Genomic DNA, 17,804 nt, shown 5'->3' on the forward strand with positions numbered 1-17,804 from the left:
AGTGCAGAGTGAAGCAGGAAAAGCCCCTTATAAAACCATCATATCTCCTGAGAAATCACTCACTATCATGAGAGCAGTAGCATGGGGGTAACTGCCTCCATGATTCAGTTACCTCCTACCAGGTCCCCCCCACGACACATGGGGATGTTGGGAACTACAAGTCAAGATGAGATTTCGGTGGGGACACAGCCAAACCATATCACACACAAACTGCATTAAAACAGAAACAAATACAAAAAAAACTTCAGTGGCATACAATAAACACAAATTACATTTAAAAAACAATAACAACAAAAACCCCACAAAACTTCAGTGGCATACAACAATAAACACTTATATAACTAGCAATTCTGCAGGGTTCTGCTGATGTCAGTTGGGCTTGTTCCTACATCTGCAGTCATCTGTAGGCCAGCTAGGCAGCTCAGCTGATGTTGGCTGGGCTCACTGACACAGGGTAGGGTTGGCTGTCTGTTAGCTGAGACTACTGAGGGACTTGACTCCGAGCCAGGTATCTTTCATCCTCCAGCAGGCTAGCCCAGGTAGCATTCTCATGGAAATGGCAGGTGCAGGAACAGAGGTCCAATTGCACAAGCCCTTTAGAAGTCCTTGTTCATATAGCATTTACTATACGATTGTGTATAGTTTATCCTATTGGCCAAAACAAGTCACATGGCTGAGCCTGGAGTAAGAGAAGATCGCTGCAAATGGAAGGATCCAGGAAGGGGTGAACAGTGGGGCCCTTAACCCACTCAATCTACCAAATTGGTTTTACTCTATTTAAGTGAATGTTTTTTCCCTTCCATCCTTATAGGTCTTATAGTAGTTCTCACACTACTGTATATCAGATTCACTAGGGAATTTGTTTGGGAATGTACCAACTCCCAAGCTCAGAGATTCTGATTCAGTAGGGCTGAGGGAGGCCCACACATGTGATTTTTTTTTTTTTTTTTGTGATGGAGTCTTGCTCTGTCGCCCAGGCTGGAGTGCAGTGGCATGATCTTGGCTCACTGCAACCTCCACCTCCTGGGTTCAAGCGATTCTCCTGCCTCAGCCTCCCGAGTAGCTGGGACTATAGGTGCGTGCCACCACGCCAGGCTAATTTTTGTATTTTTAGTAGAGACAGGGTTTCACCATATTGGTCAGGCTAGTCTTGAACTCTTGACCTCGTGATCCACCCTCCTGGCCTCCAAAAGTGTTGGTATTACAGGCGTGAGCCACCTCACCTGGCCACATCTGACTTTTAATAAGCAATCTGGGAGATTCTGAAGCGCTTAATCTTTAAAAAACGCTATGCTAATCAGCTAGATTTTCAACTAGCTTAGGGCTTTTGCTTCACTTCTCTTCTTTGAAATGATGATCCAATTCAGTGTTACAAACTCATCATCAGAGGCTATGGGCATGAGCCGAAATGTTCCCTTCAGTGTGAGCTCAGAGAGCCTGTGTGGCTGCAGGAGCTGCAGTGAGATCTTGTTTTGCAGCCTAAGGTAATACTTATCTTGTATTAAGCTTGCTGGGCAGATGTTTCTAAGCAGAAAATGCACCGCACAGATGGAACTTATTCACAGCAACCAAGAATGAAAGAAAACCCTAGGCAAGTCAGTGTATCTGGATGCAGATTCTGACCAAGTTGATACTAGAGATTTGTAGTTGGAAGAGATTAGAGATATAAAGGCCTTAGTAGGACCCAACTCTATAGCCACCAGTTGCTTCCTGCATTTGCTTTCCAAGTTCTCCTTCCATTATTGAAAACTGCCCCAGGTGGGGGCTCCCATCCCTTTTTTTTTTTTTTTTTTTTTTTTTCTGTGACAGAGTCTTGCTCTGTCACCCAGGCTGGAGTGCGGTGGCACAATCTCAGCTCACTGCAACACCCACCTCCTGGGTTCAAGTGATTCTTCTGCCTCAGCCTCCCGAGTAGCTGGGATTACAGGTGCCCACCACCACGCTCAGCTAATTTTTGTATTTTTAGTAGAGATAGGGTTTCACCATGTTGGCCAGGCTGGTCTCAAACTCCTGACATTGTGATCCGCCTCCCTCAGCCTCCCAAGGTGCTGGGATTACAGGTGTGAGCTGCCGTGCTCAGGCCCTATCCTTCATTTTTTAGACCACTTTTCCATGAATAATGTTGCTGATGGGAAGGGGGACCTTCCCCTAGAACTTTACCATCTTATTTAATCCTCACGACAATAATTCTATATTGTTATCTGCAATTAGGTGTTGATATCTGCAATTTTTAATTGAGAAACACAAGGTTCAGAGAGGTTAAGTGACCATTTTCAAACATGACATATAAAAATACGCAGTAGTGACTTCAATATATGCCCTCAGCTGCTGCAATGAGGTCCAAAGATGGCAAGGGGGACAGAGCATGAGCATGCGAATGCCAGCTCCAAGAGCCCCATGATCATCATACTCCCTACTTCCCACATATTTCTTTTCAGAGGACTGGAACCCTAGAAAGGTGTTGGGCTGGGCAAGTCGCCTGCACTGCAGGTTCACTTTTCTCCTGGAGATCACTGTTTGTCCCTGCCCACCCTGTCCTGCTCAGCTACCCATAGATGTAGCTTGCTCCTGCTGCCAAACCCAGGGGAGACAAGCAAATCCAGCCAACGTCTCAGTGAGCAGAGGGTGGAATGCACTTGGCAGGCATGTGGCAGTCATGTGAGCATCAAGCTACACCTTTTCTCCATTACTTTTTGTCTGTCTTTCCACACCTGTTTCTGACTAGGTTCTTGGTCCACACTCTCATTCCCAATCAGAAATAGCCAGTTCTTGGAAACCACCATTCTGAGCAAACTATCACAAGGACAGAAAACCAAACACCGCTTCTCACTCATAGGTGGGAATTGAACAATGAGAACACTTGGTCACAGGATGGGGAACATCACACACCGGGGCCTGTTGTGGGGTGGGGGGAGGGGGGAGGGATAGCATTAGGAGAAATACCTAATGTAAATGACGAGTTAATGGGTGCAGCACACCAACATGGCACATGTATACAGATGTAACAAACCTGCACGTTGTGTACATGTACCCTAGAACTTAAAGTATAATAATAAAAAAATAAGTAAATAGCCAGTTCTCCCCACCTCCCTTCCACCCCTAATTTGAACCCTGCACTAATCTGGACAGACAGCCTGAGGGGTAGGATGTGCCCACCCAACTATAAGTCCAGAGGCTGACCAGAGAGTCCAGATGCTGAGTGCCTCCATCTATTGGGCCAGTATTCAATGAGTGTTCATGATTGTTATTATTGGTAGCAATATCCAAACTCTTACGTTTAGTACATGATTGTTCCAAGTGACAACCAGGCCCCATCAACTCAGCCATAGAATTCCAAAGACCCATGGAAATGGGGTGGAGAGGGCCAAGTAATATATGGAGAAGCCACTGCTCCTGGTGTTTGATACTCATTAGGACCTAGGTAACTGTCCAGGAGAGTCCTTTCACCAAGACAATTTTGGAGTGACTTTTCTGGGCCAAGGGTCATACCTGGCTCACCTCCTTTTGGTGAATGGTGCCTTCCAAGGCTTTGGAGTATAACATGGTCTGAATCATTACTACTGACTGTTCCAAGTGATATAACTTCACCAGAAGCCTCAAGTGTGTGGTTTGAAGGCTGGGGAGATCCTAATTTTACAGCCCAGCCGTTGATGTCTCAACGGGTTTTCCCATCAGTGGGACAGGAGGGTGATGAAAGATACATTGGGAATAACTAGATATGGTCCAGGCCCAGGCTGTGCCTGGGAAACACCATTGAGGAAGGACCTGGAAGCCAGACTCTGTAGACTGAGGCTTTTACCGGATGTAACACTAAGCTACAGGGAAAAATAAATAAATAATAAATAACCTGTCACCGAAACTCATTCTTACCCCAAATCCTGAAACTAACCATCCGATCACTGATGCCAAACACTAAAGAGTCATTTGAATTAATTCCTCCTCTCTTCATCCATCTAAGCAATCTCCAAGGCCTTCAGTTTTAGCATACTAGCATGTTCCCATCCTCACGGCCATGACCTTATTCAAGCCATTAGCATCACTCTGCTGCTCCTACCTGGCCTCTCTGCCGGCTGTCACACCCTTTCAAACAGTTGCCGAAGCTGATCATGTCACTCTGGTGTTTAAAATACGTTTTACATCTCCCTGTGGCGTAGAATATTTACACTCTTAAGCTGGGAGAGAAAATGTCCCTGTACTCCTCATCCAAGATCTGGCCCCTGCCAGTCTCCCCAGCCCTACTCCTTACCATTTCCCACATTCCCCTGTGAGTCAGGATAGGCTTGGATCTACTACAGGAATAAACAGCTCTTAAAATCTCTGTGACGTAACATACCAGAAGTTTATGTTCATGCAAAGACTGCTGTGGGTCCAGGAACCTAACCTTGGTAGAGTGACTCAGAGATTCAGGCCACTTTGATCTTGTGGCTCAGTCCTCTCAATCTGGTCCTCTGTTTTTCAGACAGAGGAGGAGAGAGACTAGAGACACACAGGCTTCCACTGCCTCTGGCTGGAAGTGACATACATCACTTCCACTCACATTTCCCTGGCCAGAACTTCACTATGGCCCTACCCTACTCAAAGGAGGTAGGAAGTGTAGTCTCTTGTGTGGTCAGGAAAGAAAGAACCAGATGTTACTGATGTTGGGGCCCCTGGTGCTCTAAGCATGCTGAAAACCTTGTGCTCTCCCTAGCATACCCTGCCATGCCATGCCTGTGTCTTGCACGCGCTGCTCCAACTCTCTAGAACACCTCTCTCCTCCCCTTTCCCATCTATCCCAGTCTTTCTTTCTCTGCCAGCACATCTCCTGGGAAACTTGGTTTTACCCAACCCCCCATGATATGGTTTGGCTGTGTCGCCACCCAAGTCTCATCTTGAATTGTGGCTCCCATGATTCCCACGTGTTGTGGGAGGGACTTGGTGGAGATGGTTGAATCCTGGGGGTAGTTTCCCCCATGCTGTTCTCATGGTAGTGAATGGGTCTATGGGATCTGATGGTTTTATAAGGAGAAACCCCTTTCACTTGGTTCTCGTTCTCTCTCTTGCCTGCCATCATGTAAGACATACCTTTCACCTTCTGCCATGATTGTGAGGCCTCCCCAGCCATGTGAAACTGAGAGTCAATTAAACCTCTTTCTTTTATAAATTACCCAGTCTCGGCTATGTCTTTATCAGCAGTGTGAGAACAGACTAGTACACCCCACTTTGTTCTGAAGGCTATGGGGCCTTCCCTGACAGCCCTCTGCCCCCAACAATAAGTGGAGGCAACAATAAGTGGCCTCAGTGCCACTCTTGGGGCATGGGCAGGCTATTGCCTGAGCTTACCTCTCGGTGTTGACATGGTTTATTGATGTATCTGTTCTTTCTGCTTCCTTATGTCCCAAGATCCTAACACATACCTTGGCACTAGCAGTTGCCCAGTAAATGTGTATAGAATTTAATTGAGTGGACGAATTTGGCCTTTTACTGGGGAGGGCTCAAGTCTTCCTCATGGGGCCCACCTCCAAAGAGTTTGGACACAGTGGTCTGTGTCAGAGTTGCTGTCCTCACCTCTCCCTAAACCCTCCGCCTGTTGGTGGGTTGTCTCTTCGGACCCAGAAAGTGCTGCAAGGAGCAGAAAAAGGTTAGTTAATTCTTTAGATTCCTGGAAATCTTCTTCACAGCCATTCTTGGGGCCAGGGCCAGGGCTGACAGAAGGGGGGTACCGCTAAAGGGATGAGAGCTTGGAAAAAAGGAAGAAAAGGTAAAAAGAGGTTGATGCTACCAAGGTGGTAAACACTTACCTGCCTTTCCCTCTTGGGCACAATCCCCATATATTAATGTAAATCTCTGCACAGCAAGATTCCCACTGACCATTTATCCCCAGGACCCTGAGGAAAAGAGGTCCTACCTTAATTCACCTTTTCCTCAGTTGCCTCTTAACTTCTTTCTCTAAAACAAGCCTCTTCAACTGGTCTCTGCATCTTCCAGCAGGGCCCAGCAGACCTGATCTTAACCGCTCCCTTTCAGTAAATCTGGTCTCAAACCACCCTGGCTTTCTCTTTTCTGTCTTTAAAAACTAAACTTCCAGCTAATATTCCAGTCTTCCCTGGAGATCCAATTTGTGGGCAGGGCCATGCTATCTCAGTGTTCTTGCTGAGCCATAATGGTAAGAGTCGGTATTTACTTCTTCCTAACATCTTTCCAATAATCTGAACATCTAGAATCTTTTTCCCCTCACATTTTCATTCTCTGTCATCAAAACTCATTATGCTGTTCTCATTCCACGTATTTAAAATGCTCAGAGTTAGTGCGGCATCTGTGCTTCCCATGGCTAACTGTGCCTTCTAGATGAGTATCCACAGTAGATCTAATTAGCACAATATTTACCTCTGCTTCTTGCTTATTAATAAAGATATCATGGCAGAGCAGACTCCCGTGACAGTCCTCCTGAGCCATATCCAGGTGTATGAGTGTGAGAAGAAGGCTATTTGATTATTTGTGTGATCATTGCCATAATGATGTGTTCATAACTGTTTCCCCAAACATTCAGCAGACTTCTCAGAAGCAATCGTCAGACAAGTATTAGAGTTACTTTTAGAGTGACATTTTATAAAATCAATTAAGCATTGGTGAGATATTTTTAAAAATATTCCCTTCACCATTCCACCCTGTCCACATCTGCTTATGGATCCAGAGCCCCTAAAATGGAAGAATAACAAAGTGAAAGGCACAGAGCTGGGGGAAGAGAAGTGGGATGATGAGCAAATTTTCTGTGGGGTCACTATGCCTGCCTGCCATGGGCTGGAACATGCCTTGTTTGCTGTGCCTTGAAATGTGTCTGCTGGGCATTTTGGATTACCTAGTAATGTTCTCATCTAAATCAACTGGAACTCATGTTTGAGCAGGGAAATTTCATAAATAAACCAAATCAAAGAAGACCTCCGTCTGCAACACTTACTTTGAACTCTTCAGTTGTTAATTCCAGAGCCCCAAGGGTATTTAGACAATGCAAAGAACCCTTTTGTGTAAACCATTACAGTCAGGGCATTGAATAGGATTGTTCTATACATATTATCAATGTGTCTGGTAAGAAGAACATAAACCATCCTCCCACAGAGATGTTCATAAGATATCTGCAAAGAGGCTGAAAGTAGCTCAGAATATACTTGGGAGTGGGACATGCAGGTGATAGCAACAGTAACTTATAGCCATATAGCACAGTGGCTCTTAACTAGGGCTACAGCAGAACTTTCTAAGCACCCTAAAGATTCAGATTCAGATTCAGTTGATCAGGGGCTAAGGTGTAGGCATGAGCATTTTGAAAAAGCTCTCCCTGGGTACATGTGCACAAATGTCCCTTTTTGAGAAGCACCAATAACACTTCACGGTTTCCAAAGCACTTTCACATTCCACATGGCTGCCCAGTGAGACTGCCTCCATGCTGCCAAATGCAGGCTCATTATTTTTCTCATTGTACTTGGCCTCTTCGTGGACCAATTTTGTGACAGAACTTCAGGGAAACCACACTCTTCTGCTTTTCCTCTGACTGCAGTGACTGCTATTTCTCAGTTTCTTTTCCTGGATCCTTGTCCTCAAACATCATCTCTAAAGATTGGAGAGAGCCAGGACTCAGCCCTTGCACCTCTCCTCTCTCCTTAGGTGACCTTATCTAGTCCCGTGGCTTCCAACACCTTCTCTATGCTCACAAACTCCTTGTTTCTATCTCCAGCTCCGACCTGCCTCCTGAGCTTTAGACCATGTAATCAACAGCCCAGATAACGTCTCTCCTTGGATATCTAAAACATAGCAGAAGCTCATCATAAATAGAGTTATTGATCCCTCCAAACCCACTCCTCCCCTAGGCTTCCTCATCTCACTCAACAGTCTTCTCAAGCCCAAAATCTGACCTATCCTCTATTATTTTTTCCCCACATATCAATCCATGAGTAGAACTCATTGACACAATCTACAACACAGTGCCCCAAAGTGCCCATTTCTCTCCATCTCTCTCCTATCACCTTAGACCAACCCACCCTTGTCTTCTGCCAGGACTAGTACAATTGCCTCCTAACTTGTTTTCTTGTTTCTAAATCCACTTTCCTTAGAGTGAGCACAGAAATCTTTTAAAAACAAACCATGCAGCCCTGTCCTTTCTCAAACCATTATCATGACTTCCTATATATGAGAATAAAATTTCAGCTTACTACCTGGGTTTACAAAGTGCTGCAGGGCTGGCCTCTGCCTCCCCCTCCCACTCCCCAACAATGCTCCAGCCGTGTCACCTTTCTTTTGCTTTCTCAAACAGTCCAAGCTTATTCCCATAACACAGTCATTGCACTGCATATTCCTTCTGCTGATTGCTTTTCCCCCATGTGTGACTGGTTGGTTCCTGTCATTCAGATCTCAGCTTAGGTGCCATTTCATCAGAGATGCCTTCTCGGACCCCCCAATCTAAAGCAGTTGCCAGATCCTCTCTTTCATACTCCCCTGTTATTTATCTTCACATTATTTACCCCTATTTATTATTTTTCTCACTTCCTTATGTTAGAATGAGAGCAGGACCTTTTCCCATCTTCATTTGAAATATCCCCAGCCCTAGGCAACTATTGAATGCATGAATCAATTTACTTATCTGAGCCAATCGGCCTGTGAAGGAGGCTTGATCATCCATTTTCATGGATGAGAAAAATGTCATCCAGTTGAACCAGACGACTTGCTCAAGGTCCCAGAGCTAGCTCAGTGGATGGCAAGTCTTCTGAGTTTAAATCCAGTCCCCTTTCCGCTTATGTTGAGGCTGCCTCCACATAGAGAATTCCACCTTTAAAAAATGGAAATGTCCTGCACTCGCATGCAAAATAGACATTGTGTGCGGACCATGGGTCTCAATGCAGGGAGGCAGCAAACTTTGTCTGAGTCCTAAGGCTCGGTGGCTCACCCTGAGGAATTTCTGTTGACCAAATGTGATGTGACCTCCAGGAAGGGAACATAGTGGAGCACAACAACAATTAAGGTGGGGGCTGCGTGTGTGTGCGTGTGTGTGTGTGGCCTGAATGAGTATGTGCACACACCACTCATCCTCAGCTCCTTTGTGCTTGCACTGAACCCCTGGCTCCCGGATGAGTCATATCCACCAGGTTGCATTCCTTGAACTGAATCTCACAGCACCTCCTTCACCAATCATTGTTTACCTGGGAAACAAGCTGAGAGGAAAGTTTGAGTGCACCACAGGACAGAATCTACAAACACCCCTGTGATTTGAGATGGGATTGTTAAATAGTTTTCACATTAGAAAGAGGTCTTCAGGTTCTGTCTTTGATAGGTGACCACCTGGCGGACTTTTTCCAATTGCACCAGTGGAAGTACATGCATGAATAATGGTAGCATTTACCCAGGCCCGTGTATTTCAGAAAATGGGTAGGAAATCGTTCCTATAGCAACAAGAGGCTGGCAGTTCAAGTCAGTCACTTCTGCTGGATCATAGAATGTAGCAGGTGAATTCTTCCTTTTCAGACTAAAGCTCTCCTTGAAAAGGAAATGATCATGTTCTTAGGAATACTGTAACCGCCACTCAACTTCCAGATCTACCAGTTCAGGAAACACAGCCAGGGTCCTCAAGGCTGCATTTTCAAACTCTCCCAAGGACATCCAGGGGGTGGAAGAGAATGGAAACCTGTCACCTGCTGCTGGCTTTTCTCTTAAACCTCTGCTCTTCTACTAGGCTTTCTGGTCAGTTCTGTTTTGTTTGCCAGCTAATTGCAAGTATTAGCACCTGGGCTTGAAACCTGGCTGCCACCCCTCCATTTCCCTTTCTCTCCATGCTTGCACCATGGATGATTGTCATGGATAGGTGTGAGGATTAGCAAGCCTCTGTTTCTCTGGAGACTCCCTCTAGTGAAAATAACTGGCTGAGAAACAGGGCCAGTGGGCTGGGGATTTTGCCAGCTGTGTGATGGTATAAAAAGAAATGTCTTAATCTCTCTAAGTTTTTGCCTCCTTATTTCTAAACTATGATTTATGCATTATAGGATTATTTTAAGGATTTAATGCAAAAAAGTAGAGAAGGCACCTAGCACATTGCCTGGCCAGTTACAGGTCTCCATAAATACCGATTCTCTTCCCCTCAATTCTTACTCCTAAGACCACCCTCCTTCGGGAGGACAGGCTCTTCCATAGATAGAGGCAAATAAATTGGGGGGAGAGAGAGCTGCTTTAATGGACAGGGAGGGAGAGGGGTGCACACCAAAGAATGCTGTTCCTTGGGACAGGGTTGTGGGGCATGTGTTTGGTGGAGTCCAGCCCAATAAGACCCATGCATGGGTTCTGGGATATTTGATAGAAATGCCCCTGTTGGTGTTAAAAAGTCTGAACAGTACTTTCTTGCCAGTTGCCACCTTCTTCAGCCTTGTGTTGCTTGTGAGTTTCACCAGAGCAATGCAAATGAGGTTTAAAGCCAGAGGGTCAAGAAGCCCCACTGAGTATGGCAGATTGAGGAGAAATGAAGGCAGCCTGTGCAATCTTTGCAGGTCCTCCTGATAGAGTGGCCACACATTTTGTCTTCATAAGTAGGAAAAAGACTCAGGTGGGAAAGGGAAGGTTATAGGGGGTGGGGAGGTGGGGAGGGTGGTAATTTATTTAATATTTTACTCCTTTTGTTTGTTTGTTTGTTTGTTTTGAGACAGAGTCTGGCTCTGTCATCCATGCTGGAGTGCAGTGATGTGATCTCAGCTCTCTGCAAACTCCGCCTCCTGGGTTCAAGCAATTCAGGTTCAAGCAATTCTTTTGCCTCAGCCACCCAAGTAGCTAAGACTACAGGCTTGCACTGCCATGCCCGGCTAATTTTTGTATTTTTAGTAGAGACGGGGATTTGCCATTTTGGCCAGGCTGGTCTTGAACTCTTGGCCTCATGTGATCTGCTCACCTTGGTCTCCCAAAGTACTGGGATTACAGGCATAAACCACCACGCCTGGCCAATATTTTACTTCTTAATTTTGCAACCTGTTCACCTTTGACCACGGACCAAAGAAAGTTTTTTTGTTTTTTTTTTTTTTAACTCAGTCAATAACACATTGCCTCCAAAACCAGCAGCAGTAAGTCATAAAACATAGGTTACCCTTCTGTTACTCCCAGACCTCTGGTTCCTAGCAGAAAATGGCCATAAAAGTAACCATAGGAGAGAGAAGAGGAATACTTCCAGATAACTCATGCATGAGCTAATAAACCTCTCCATAATGAATTGCCTCTGGAAGACACATATTTTCAATGTTAGCAAATGAAAACACTGGAAATACTGAAAGGTGAAGGCACCTAAGGGACAGTGATTGGTTCTAAGGGAGGCTTTTATTGGATGAAGTACCCAAGCATCCTGCAGGAGTCCTACACAATCTCTGACCCCGGTCTGGCCAATTCTCCTGCAGGAAGGATGAACCTAGAGACAGGGAATCTGAGTAAAGACATCTACAGATTGGAGGAGGATGCCAAGATGGGTTGTTGCCTAGCAAGCACCCCAGGCTCCTGTGGGTACTGCTGGTGATGACAGCAGACGTAGGAAAGCTAGGGAGGCCCAGGGCCTGTTTCTGAGAGCACTCATGGCACAGAGCGATGTAAGTTCTATCTTTCCTACAGAGGCTCACCTTTAACATGCAGTGATGGAGCACTGATGACTCACCAGGTGCTGTAGCTGGAAGGGGGCCATTCTGCACCTTTACGGCCTGGGAGGCCAGGGCTGCTGAGCCAGGGCACTGCCCCTAGCTACAGGTTCCTGCAGCCATAGGCCTCGAGCCCCTTTCTTACTGCCAGGCTGATGGCTGGCTGTTGGCTGTGGAGTTTGGTAGCAGACATAGCTGTGAGGCAGAGGAGCCCAGGGCTCTGTGGCATTGTCAAGGATTGTGAGTCACCGAAGTACCTACCTCAGGTCCCAGTTCATAGCCCCTTCCATCCCAGAAATACCAGGCACATTGTGTCCATTTGGGAGTGCAGAGTTAGGGAGACACACTGTCCTTACCCTAATTGGTTTGCCTCAGAGAAAACAAATCTTCAGCTATATTTATCATTGCTGATTATTACTATTGTTTCTGCTCACACAGAATTTTGCCAATAAATCCTATCCTAAAAAGATTTTTTGCCAAAATTGATAAAACTGCCAGCATCCAGCCTCCACTCCTCCCTGCCCCCTGCCCTCCATGCCATTCCCAAACCCCTACGCATGTGCATATATGAACAAACTAAATGATTAGGTTAAGTATGTGGATTCTGACACCAGCCTGGATTCAATTCCTAGCTCTGTCACTTAGTAGTTGTATGAACTTAAACAAGTTATTAAACTGTTCTCTGCCTCTTTTTGGAATTTGTATAATGAAGATAGTCAGAATATCACCCTATGTTTTGAAGATGATTAGATTAGATGATGTGTGTGACCTCCGTGCATGCCAGGCACATGTAATTGCGGGCATCGTATTATCATTGAACACACGGCATGCCTGGCATAATAGAGAGATCATGGGCTTTGGTCTAAAGTCTTCTTGGATTCAAATTTTGCTTCTGCTACGTAATGGTGTAACCTTAGACAAGTTACTTAACTTTAGTTAGCTTCAACTTCCTCATCTGTAAAAAAGAAATTAAATATATCTCAAAGATGCAGTTCAGCCCAAGGGAGGTCACACAAATAAAACATCAGCAGTGCTTGGTACATGGAAGGTGCTCCATAATCTGCTAAAGTCCTTTCATTTCTTCAAGACCAGCTTAAGTACTATCTGCTTCTCAAAGTCTTGCAGACCCCATAGAAGCAGTGATTCCCTCTCCTTATTTATTTTTGCAGTAAAGCTTTACCCAGTACCCCGCCATATTGTCCAGCATAGTCCACAGCAAAGGGGGAAACTGGCTTGGGCTGAGTATGTGGCCAACCACCTCCACTCCTGGACAGCAGGTCAGAAGGGGCCTCGTCTCAATCAGTAAGGACTGGAGTGTCAGTCTGTTGAAAGATGGACAATACATTAAGATGAAAAAAATTTTATAAAACTCTTCCTCTTCCCTGAATTGCTAAGGGAACTTGAAAACATTCAGTTATTCATTCAATCATTGATTCAACAAATGCTACAAGCCAGGTGCTGGGCCAGGGACTGGATTAAACAGATACATTGTTTCATCACGGAGGTCACCATCCAGTGAACAAGAGAATCATTAATAAGATGTTGTAAAGGTAGCCAGGCTTTCTTTTAATCAGGTATAGCAAGACATGCAGACTTGGAAATGACTGTCATGAGAAAGGAGCTTTTGTACTCACCCATCCCTAGAAACAGGAGGCAGGGCATGCTCTGCAGGGCCATGAGGAAAAGCAGCAGGGTAGGTCAGGACAGGAGGCGGAGGGAGGGAGGGAGGGGAAAACATGGGCAAGAGTCTTTATTGTGGCTTCCTGGGGAAGGAACAGGTGAGGCGGGGAAGGAACAGGTGAGGCAGGGAAGGAACAGGTGAGGCGGGAAAGGAACAGATGAGGCAGGGTGGGAAGGCTTAGCGTTGGCAAGTTTGAATAATTTCAATGGGCTCTGGCCCTGGACTGATGAGGGCAGGGGAATACTGGCCCAGGAGTGTGAGGGCCTGCGGAAGGAGGTGGTTGGGGCTTAGGTGCTCAGGCTTGGTTGCTGTGCATAGGAAGGATCTGCTCCCAGGTGAGTTGTTTACTTAATCTTCAGCAATTGGCTAGCCCTGGGAGGGGCAATCCCTCCAGGAACTGCAAGGCATAGATGTCAAAGCATCAGATACTAGAAAACATAATTATTACGTGAAAGAATCCTTCAACTATATCTTGCAAACTCTGGGAGTGCTGTGAAAGAAAAATACTGTGGCGAGAGGCAGTGTAATGCTGTACCTGACCCGAGCTGGGGGTGAAAAGCTTCCTCCCTGCAGAACAGTCAGAGGGATCCAGAGCGCCTCGGCGGGCCCAGATGACAGGCCTGCTTCCCCCTGCACGAGGCACCTTGGCCCTTGCCACCCACCCCAGGACAGTCCAACCTTAGTGCGATTGTTCTGTGAGGGAATCCTGGCTAGAGCTCCTGCCCCAGCATGGTCGCCAGGGTTGGCTGGCTGATGAGCTCTCCTATCAGATGAGGAGTCATAGCTGCATGTTCGTCTAACAGTCGCCTTCTCAGAATCTTAGAAAAATGCTTTAGAGGGGAAAAACAAAGTATCTAAAGAACAAAAACAAAAACTCTCCTACTGACCCAATTTTCTGGCAAGGTGGAGTGAGAAGGTGGGTTGGCCAGCTCAGCTGCACCTACAGTGACAATGCTCCTTCCCCATTCACAGCACATGGGCAGGAGGAGGACTGCAGGTGCACAGAGTCTAAGAGGCCGTGCCACTCCCACTGTCCCAGCGCCGCAGGGCTGAGGGGCCACCCGCAAAGGAGCTATTACCGAGCTCTTTGTGATCAGTTGTGTCTTGTGAACTCTGCCTTCTGAAAGAAAGACAATTCCGGGGAAAAACTTTTAGGCCAAGGATGCAGACCAGAGAACAACGAAATGCTGAAGTCACATCTCAGCTTCGTCTAGAAACAAGGAAAAGAGACGTCTCTCATTCTTGTGAGAATATTGACCTTCTGTTAACAGAGCAGAGCCGCCCCCGAGAAAGACATTTCCCACCTTCCTCGCCTCCTCTCCTGAGGCCTGCGGGTTTCTCAGGACTCCCTGTACCACCCCTTCTCTGCCTTCCTGAGGAGAAGAAAATATGATGTCACTCAGCTGTCGTTAGGAATTTGATGTGTATAACATTTTGTGAACCCCAAAATGTCTGAGACAGGACTTAAGCAATTCAGAAAGTTCATTTTGTCGAGGCTAAGAACATGACCATGACACAGCCTCAGGAGATCCTGACAACATGTGCCCAAGGTGGTCAAGGTTCAGCTTGCTTTTATACATTCTAGGGACACAGAATACCTCAATCAATACACTCAGGATGCACACTGGTTCACTCTGGAAGGGTGGGGCAACTCAAAGCTGGGGGTGGGGGGACTTCCAGGTCATGGGTAGATTTTAAAATGTTCTGCCAGGTGCGGTGGCTCACACCTGTAATCCCAGCACTTTGGGAGGCAGAGGCGGGTGGATCAAGAGGTCAGGAGTTCAAAATCAGCCTGGTCAACATGGTGAAACCCCATCTCTACTAAAAATACAAAAATTAGCCCAGTGTGGTAGCGTGCATCTGTAATCCCAGCTACTCAGGCGGCTGAAGCAGGAGAATTGCTTGAACCCAGGAGGCAGAGGTTGCAGTGAGCCAAGATCGTGCCATTGCACTCCAGCCTGGGCAACAAGAGCAAGACTCCGTCTCAAGAAAAAAAAAAAAGTTCTGACTGGCAATTGGTTGAAAGACTTATTATCAATAGAAAGGAATGTCTGGGTTATAAGAAGTTGTGGAGACCAAGTGTTTATTGTGCAGATGAAGCCTCCAGGTAGCAGGCCTCAGAGAGAATAGAGTGTAAATGTTTCTTAACAGACTTAAGGTCTGTGTTGACGTTAATGCTGGTCAGCTTTTCCTGAATTCCAAAAGCGAGGAGCATGTAAAGAGGCATATACAACCTCCCCCTTCCCATGATGGCCTGAACTAGCTTTTCAGGTTAACTTTGGAATGCCCTTGACCAAGAGGAGGGGTCTATTCAGATGGTTGGGGGGGCCTTAGAATTTTATTTTTGGTTTGCAATTTCAAAGAGCATTTGTTATGTGCCTACTGTGTGCCCAGCCTGTGCTGGGTGCTAGGCAATAACTAAGACCCCCAGGGATGAGATGTCCAGAGACAGACAGCTTTGCCATGCTCTATGTTGGGGGCTAGTGGATGCCTGTTTGTGACTCGTGGAGGAAGAAAGGCCCCCATATGCCTGCAAGGAGTCAGACAGCTTCAGAGATGAGGCAAGGTTGCCAGGCTGACAAGTAGGGGATGTATTTGAGGCAGAGGGAATAACATGGGCAGAAGCTCAGAGGCATGAATACCATGGTTCGTTAAACCACAAGTGGTATGTATTACTGGAGTGGTGAAGAAGGAAACAGAGAAAGAGAAACGTGGGAGAAAGTGCTTGGGGGAAATTCTGGATAGGAAGGTGAGGGGGAGTGGATCATAGTGAATATTAGGTACTGTAATTCAAAGATTTTGAGCAGAAAATAGTTTATATGATGGAATGTGCAATTTAGAAATACACCTCTGAGAAAATATGGAGGCAGAGAAACCTATAGGAAGATCATTATAAAAGTCTAGGCAAGTGATATGGTTTAGCTATGTGTCCCCCACCCAAATCTCATGTTGAATTGTAATTCCCAGGGTTGGAGGAGAGGCCTGGTGGGAGGTGATTGGGCCATGGGGGCAGTTTCTATTGTTTTAGCACCATCCTCCTAGTACTGCTTGTTTAAAAATGTGCAGCACCTCCCCTTTCTCTCTCTCCCTCCTGCTCCAGCCATGTAGGACATGCTGGCTTCCCCTTTAGGGCCTTCCACCATGATTGTAAGTTTCCTGAGGTCTCCTCAGTCATGCTGCCTGTATAGCCTGTGGAACAGTGATCCAATTAAACCTTTTCTTTGTAAATTACCCAGTCTCAGGAGGTTCTTTGTAGCAATGCAAGAACGGACTAATACAGCCAGGGATGAGGAGTGTCTGAACTGAGGTTCTGGTGACAGTGCATCAGGAGAAGGAAAGCAGACATTATAGATTTTCCAGCCTAGAAATAACAACTCAGAGAACACTGAAGTAGTGAGAGTTGTAGTTGAAGGTGTAGATTTTGGAGTCAGCTCACATGAGTTCGAGTTCCAGCTCTACTACTGCTTAGCAGTACAGTATTGGGCAAGTTATTTACTCTCTCCGTACCTCAGTTTCCACACCTGTGAAATGGAGATAAAAATATTACTTGCCTCACAGGGTTGTTGGGGTGATATGTTCAATCAATGAAAGTTAAATAATAATAGCCTACCTGGCACATAGTAAGCATGCAGTAAGTGTTGACTATCTTTAGTGTGATTGGATGCAGAGCGAGGTGAAGGGAAATGGGCATATCTAGTTCAGCTTTGTACTTCGTTTTAGTGCAGAACCCTTGCCTCTGAATGTGGTCCTTTCTCTTAAGATGTAGCATTTCTCAGATCTCAATGGAATGTTTGGGAGTCTCAGCAAGTTTTCTTTGCTCTGGCTGAGCCAAAACTCCTGTGTCTCCTAGCACTGGGCAATCTTTGGTATCCCCATTCAGCTCTCAGCCTCCAACCATCTGCCTCTCAGGCCCTGTGAAGTCTCCCCCTGCTTCTCTGGGACTCAGTGGCCCAGGGCCCAAGAAGAATCCACCCTCCATATCCCAGTGCACCACTACCACCAGAAGCCCCCAACTCTGATCTCTGCTCCCCACAACCAGTAAAATTGTAGCTTTCCATTTAACCTCCACCTATCTGCACCAAGATGTAAGAAAGCAGGGCAGAAGGGAGGGAAGGGATAAGGTAGGAGTAGAATGCAGAGCTCACTTTGGGTCTTCCTTTCTCTCAAAGAGCCCAGATTTGGTTTTTTGTTTATTTGTTTTATTTTATTTTTAAAATTCTTGTGAGTACATAGTAGGTGTGTAGAGTATGGATTTGTATTGTCTTTTGTCCAATGCCTGAAATGGTTGGTTCCTGTATCTTGTCTGATTGTATTATTGTTTATGGCCAAATGATAGGTCCATTATCAGTCACTCTGTCATGGCTGGATACACAACCAATGAGCCTTGGTTCCTCATCAATGAGGTACTATTAATCCACAGAAAGGATTAGAAGAGATCATTTCTGTATCAGTGCATTCTATGGTATTTGTCAGAAGGTAGATGCACTATAAATGTGATT

At 46.0% G+C, this 17,804-nt stretch overlaps 2 annotated features.

The window, feature by feature from the left end:
* Positions 8,307–9,205: an enhancer, noted in NCBI's record as "OCT4-NANOG-H3K27ac hESC enhancer chr6:110265029-110265927 (GRCh37/hg19 assembly coordinates)". NCBI's record gives its function as "activates a minimal SCP1, AML or CMV promoter by ChIP-STARR-seq in naive and primed H9 embryonic stem cells {active_cell/tissue: H9 hESC(naive and primed)}" and the evidence as "EXISTENCE:reporter gene assay evidence [ECO:0000049][PMID:30033119]".
* Positions 9,206–10,103: an enhancer, noted in NCBI's record as "OCT4-NANOG-H3K27ac hESC enhancer chr6:110265928-110266825 (GRCh37/hg19 assembly coordinates)". NCBI's record gives its function as "activates a minimal SCP1, AML or CMV promoter by ChIP-STARR-seq in naive H9 embryonic stem cells {active_cell/tissue: H9 hESC(naive)}" and the evidence as "EXISTENCE:reporter gene assay evidence [ECO:0000049][PMID:30033119]".

This window comes from Homo sapiens, chromosome 6, assembly GCF_000001405.40.
Source record: "Homo sapiens chromosome 6, GRCh38.p14 Primary Assembly".
NCBI classification, from domain to species: Eukaryota; Metazoa; Chordata; class Mammalia; order Primates; family Hominidae; genus Homo; species Homo sapiens.